Below are 6068 nucleotides of genomic sequence, written 5' to 3' on the forward strand. Positions count from 1 at the left end.
AGGCCTAGTCCCATGATAATAGGGCAAACAATTCTGAACTCCTTGCTAGATTATATTAGAGTTCCCACACAGTTTGAAGTTGCTGCAATTAGCATTCAGCCTTCATATGTTCACTTAATCCTCCTATTTTCAGCATAGTACCTGCCCATTTACTCCCCAACACACACACCTCAGTCTAGAACCCACCTCTGTCCAGGCTCAGTGGCTCACATCTGTAATCTGAGCACATTCGGAGGCTGAGGCAAGAGGATCACTTGAGCCCAGGAGTTTGAAACTAACCTAGGCAACATAGTGAGACGCTGTCTCTACAAAAAAATTAAAAATTACCCAAGTGCGGTGGTGCTGTGTAGTCCCAGCTACTCAGGAAGCTGAAGTGGGGAGGATCGCTTGAGCCTGGGAGGTCAAGGTCGAGGCTGCAGTGAGCAAAGATGGCGCCACTGCATTCCAGCCTGGGCAACAGACCAAGACCCTGTCTGGGAAAAAAAAGGAGGGGGAGGGAGGGGAGAAAATAGAACCTATCTGTGTTGGTCTCTCCAGGGAACAGATGTCCAGTCATCAGGAGCTGTTGGGGAGGGTGTCTGGGAATCTAACTTCACTTTTTCTTCTTTACTCTGTCCCTTCCCCTTTACCCAAGATTTCAGAGGTATCTGATCCCAAGCCTTTTGAGGATTTTTCAGAGTAAGTTAGTTTAGTTCTCAATCCACTTCTAGCCAAAATTCAGCTCTTTTGGGTAGGTTAAATCTCTTACCATTAGTTCCCTTGCTTTTCAGCTTCCAAAATTTTGTTCTGTTGTCACCTTTCTTGTTCTCTCTGTCCTTGTTGTGTTAGGCCTTTTTTTAAAAAAAATTTTTCCTTGGGATTTTGAGAGGAAAACAAAATTTGATACATGTATTCAATGCACTATCTTATTATAGAACACCATACCATTATTGACTTTACAGGCTTGGATCTTGAACCTCCTAACCCACTTTATGAGCTGAAACTCTCAGTTTTCTTTAGTTTGACACCTTACATAGCAGTGTATGATCTTCTGGCTTACTTGAGTTGCTGCTCTTTGCCATTATGTCTTTGGGAAAGTTAATTAACTACAACTGGAACACAAGTATCTTAGATATGGTCATCATTTAATACAAATGAAGCACAAAACTAGCCATTTCATTTTTGGCTACTAATACTGGCTGCCTTCACCTGGAAAAAATGATGCTGTTATTAGTAATAATTCCTATCATTTTTGGAGTAGCTTTTAGTTGAAAATATCTAAATATTCCTTGAACTCCTGTGGACTTCTTATTACAGACTTTCAAGTCTAAGCTTTAAAATTGAGAAAAATCAATTTTCTGATTCCTGCCAACAGCAATTCTTGGGGGATGATTAAGGATCAGCATGGCATATTAACATTGTTGATCTAAAACAAAGCTAGTAATTTTCATCCTTTACCCAATGTTCCAATCAGTGTTCTTAAGTTAATAATGTTAGCTTCCTGAAGCGAGCCTGCAGTCTTTATATTTTCCATTTGTAAGATATAGTTCAATTGGATTTTAGCAAGCAGTATTTGAATTTCCATTCCATAAGGTGGTGCTGACTAAATGCTAAGTGTAGTAAAATTGGTATTAGATCTCTTGTATTTGGGCACTTTAAGGATGATCTGGGCATGAAAATAGGACATTATGCTGTAGACAGTGTATTAATTTTTTATGTGGCTTTAATAAATTGCCACAAATGGAGTGGTTTAAACAACTCAAATATCTTACAGTTCTGTAGGTCAGTAAGTGTAAGGGGGTAGATGCAGTTAATATTTACAAAAGGATTAAAGTACAATCTTTATTAATTTGTAAATAAAGATTGAAATCTGACACAGGTCTTAGTGGGCTAAAATCAAGGTATCTGTAGGCTGCACTTCTTTCTAGAGCATCTAGGGGAGCCTAAGTTTTCGGCTTATTTGGATTGTTGGTGGAATTCAGTTCCTTGAGTCTGTGGGACTGAGGTCATTGCTTTCATGCAGATTATAAACTGAAGGCTCTTCCCACCTTTTGGAGGTAATCACCTTCCTTGGCTTGCGGCCCTGTCCTCAACCTTAAAAGCAAGCAGCAGCAGGTCAGGTCCTTACATCAAATCTCTCCAACTTTTCTATCCCATACCACTCTGAAAACAGCGTGGATATAGTCTCTAATCTTAAGGATGCTTGTGATTAGATTGGGTACTTCCTGATAATCCAGAACAATCTCCCTATTTCAAAGTCCATTTTGCCATGAAAGGTTCTGGGGATTAGAGTACGAACATCTGTGGGGGAACATCATCCTGCCTACATGTGCAGTAAATGCAGTTTGTTCTGTAACTAAAAAATGAAGTTATTTAGAATTGGCAGCTTGAAAATTCAAGGTAAAAGCATTCTCCCAAAATGAATACGTATTATTTGCTTAAATCTCTTAAAGGAAGATAGTAGAAACACAACTGGCTTTTTATAGTACACCTTCTCCTCCAAAAATTGGGTTATTTTAGTTTTGGTTTTATCTTTACTTACTTAATCTTTGGTTAAGATTATTCAAAATAATAAAGATTATACTTTAATCCTTTTGTAAATATTGACTGCATCTACCCCCAAGGTGACAGCCATTACAATAGGGCAGATAAAAATGGAGCAACTTCTTTTTGCTATTCTTAGACACTGACAAGTCATTCAAATGAAAAGCAAATTAAAATGGAGCTACTGAATAGTTTAAAAGGCAAATGTTGCCTTTCTTTGCTATCTCTTACCCAAAAACTTCAGCTTATGATCCAAAGACAGACTGGCAATATTGTCTACTGTCTTTTATCATGCTCCAAAAAGCAGTTGATTATCTTGGAAGGGCTTCAAAAGCAATTAAGAAAATCCCTTATGTCAAGTTACATTTCAGACAGGACAAATTAGATGTATGGGAAAATGTCCTGATAAAGTACTCAAGAAATAATGAATCTGTGTACAATTTGTAATTGCTCCTGCAAAAAATTTACAACATAAAAGGGCCTGTTAACCTGAGACTGGAAGCGCACTGATGGATTTTTTTTTTCATTACAAATGCAAATGCTTTTTGAAATTGAGCCCAGAGCATTTTTAAATGTCCAAAATGTAATTCAAAACATTGTTTATTACATTTCTGTCTGGGCTCTTCACTGCATCACAAGCTGCTTTGTAAATGCTGATTTTTCAGCCAGCAGGTCTGCAATGAAAAATGGCCGATTTGGCTGGCTGATGTAGAGTGTGTCCTAAAGGGCATCTCTGCGACAGGATGAAGGGTAAGGGTTAGCACAAACGCCCCAGAAAGATGGTGATGGATGGTAATTGGAAAGACATTCTAGTTGTTAAGTGTCACTGAGAGTGTTGCCTTTGTTTCTACTTTATGTATTAAAGATAGACAGATAACCTTCTATCTGCATAACCCCATCCCTGTAACTACAGAACAATGCAGGCTCCATGGATCACAGATAATAAGTTTCTCAGGGCAGGGGTTGGTGGATTGGGTGCTGGAGGCTGGAGATACTTAGTCAGAACGAGGTATCATCTAGATAGAGTACTTTTATCACATTGCTGGAAAGTTCAAATGCAATTTCCTTCCCTTATGAACTACTATTCCCCTGTGAGTAAACTGATTTCAACTCTTCTAAACTACTTGGATTTTTTTCCTCAATTTCCTAACTTTTGAAGTATGGATGAGCTCATTGCTAATTTTCTCCCCCATGATAAACATTAGCAAGTGGGAAGTTATTATAGGGTTATTATACAATATTTATGGACCACTTTTTATTTGTGAAGTGTTTGAAGGTCTCTTAAATATGAACTGTTTCCAAATAACCTTGGGCTCATTTTTTATCTTGATCCAAATCCCATGGAAGCAAAGCAATCATGAAGCTCTCTTAAAAGTCATTGGGAGCCCCAGGCTCAGAACCCAGCTGTGCAGCATGAACTATTAGGCCCAGTGCTGCGGGAACCTTTGAGTAACTGAACCACGGGGACTGATGCTCATTTAGGAATCAAAGTTGGTGCTTTGTTTCCTGAAGCCTTTGCCTGAGCTGAGGAAGGTGGAATAAATCCCTCACAGGAGTTCAAATTGTATAGACTTTACTTTAAACACAAATTCTCAAAACAATTCCTTTTGAGACAGTTTAACAAAGTGATGTCTTTTCTGTTTAAAGACTGGGGAACAACAACAACAAAGCCAGTAAAAAAGCAAACTTCAGAGTATTCCTATCCACAGGATGACTCTGATTTTTTTTTTTTTTTTTTTTTTTTTTTTTTTTTTTTGCAGCTTGCAAGATTTAATAGAGTGAAAAAGAGTGAAAACAGAGCTCCCATACAAAGGGAGGAGACCCAAAGAGGGTTGCCATTGCCGGCTGGAATGCCTGGGTTTATATCCCGATCCTTGTCCCTCCCGCTGTGCTCTCGGGCAATAGATGATTGCCTATTTCTTTACCTCCTGTTTTTGCCTAATTAGCATTTTAGTGAGCTCTCTGATTGGTCGGGTGTGAGCTAAGTTGCAAGCCCCGTGTTTAAAGGTGGAAGCGGTCACCTTCCCAGCTAGGCTTAGGGATTCTTAGTTGGCCTAGGAAATCCAGCTAGTCCTGTCTCTCAGTCCTCTCTCTCAACAGGAAAACCCAATTGTTGTTGGGGAGGTTGGCCGACAACTGCTCTCACTGCTTCCTGCTGAATTGGGGCGTAGTAGGGGTTGTGCAGTTGAGATTTCCTCGGGAGGGGTGCCTTCGATGGATGACTCCGATTTCTAAGTTAGTCTTCATTAATGTTCTCTTCCACTTTCATCAGTCCGTGTTCTCTCTTGGTGAGCTTTTTCCAATTTTCATCCACAAATATCATCACAGGTACATACTCTGAAACCTCCCGATTATTTCTGTTATGTCCATCTACCTTCCTCTGCTTTATAACTTGATCATATTCCTTTTTATCTCTCACCAAAGTATGTTTTTCTTGATTTGTTCAGTTACCATTTGACATAATAATAATAGTGTCTACTAAGTACATTTCTAAGTGCTGTACTTGTATAAATTGTGATACATTTGTGATAAAAATAACCCTATTGCATATTATTACTGTGCCCATTTCACAGGTGGAAGGCATGAGACACAGTGATGATAAGTGGCTCCTTGCTGTCAGGTGGTGGAGTCAGGCTTCATGCCCAGGTGACCTGGCTCCAGAGTTCCCACTGCTTACCCCTGTTTTTCACTGGCTCTTGTAATTGGGAGAGTATCAGCTTTAAGGTCACAGAGACCTGAGTTTGAATGCAAATCTTGGCATTTACATATAAACACCCTGGAAGTTTGAGCTTGGGCAAGTTTAGCAACTTGACTGAGCTTTAGTTTCCTCAACAGTAAAACAGAGATATTTCTGTGAAGAAAACTGAGATAACCCCTGTCAAAGTCCATGACCATGGTAGGTGCTTGATAAAATTTAAAATGTCAGCTAAGGCAGGGTGTGGTAACTCACACCTGTAATCCCAGCACTTTTGGAGGCTAAGTTTGACACCAGCCTTAGCAACAAAGTGAGACTTTGTCTCTACAAAATAATTAGCCGGTGTGGTGTTGCCTGCCAACTGCCACTGCACTCTAGCCTGTCTCTAAAAAAAGAAACGAGTGTCAGATAATTCTTTCTCTCCCTCAATGTTCTCAGCTTCATAATTTGCAAATGAAATTAACTAATTTTTATGTGTTGAAGAAGAGATTTAATATGTTGCTTCTAAGGTAATCTCAGATATCGTGACTTTTCAGGTTGGTGGACTTTTCAATACTACAGTCCACCTAGGAAGAGTTACATCTCTGAAATTGGACCAAGTCACATGTTCTTGGGTGTACTTATTTTTGATCTGGATCTTTTATATTTCACTTACATGTTCTTGTAAGTGAAATGATCTTCAGGAAATGTTTTGAATGAGGAAATGAAGTGGAGCAGCAACCACCTGCTTGTGGGTTTGTATCGTATCACGAAGGGCTGATGGGCCAGTCTGGTGCTCCAAGAATGGCAATGACCCATGGCAAATGCCTCGGCAGTGGTGGCAGTAGAATCCTCCCTGGCCATGGGGCCA

The 6068-nt window shown here is 39.6% G+C and overlaps 1 annotated feature.

The window, feature by feature from the left end:
* Positions 5080-5374: a silencer, noted in NCBI's record as "tiled region #406; K562 Repressive non-DNase unmatched - State 21:Repr". NCBI's record gives its function as "represses a minimal TATA promoter and a strong SV40 promoter by Sharpr-MPRA in K562 cells {active_cell/tissue: K562}" and the evidence as "EXISTENCE:reporter gene assay evidence [ECO:0000049][PMID:27701403]".

This window comes from Homo sapiens, chromosome 5 (assembly GCF_000001405.40).
Source record: "Homo sapiens chromosome 5, GRCh38.p14 Primary Assembly".
Classification (NCBI taxonomy): Eukaryota; Metazoa; Chordata; class Mammalia; order Primates; family Hominidae; genus Homo; species Homo sapiens.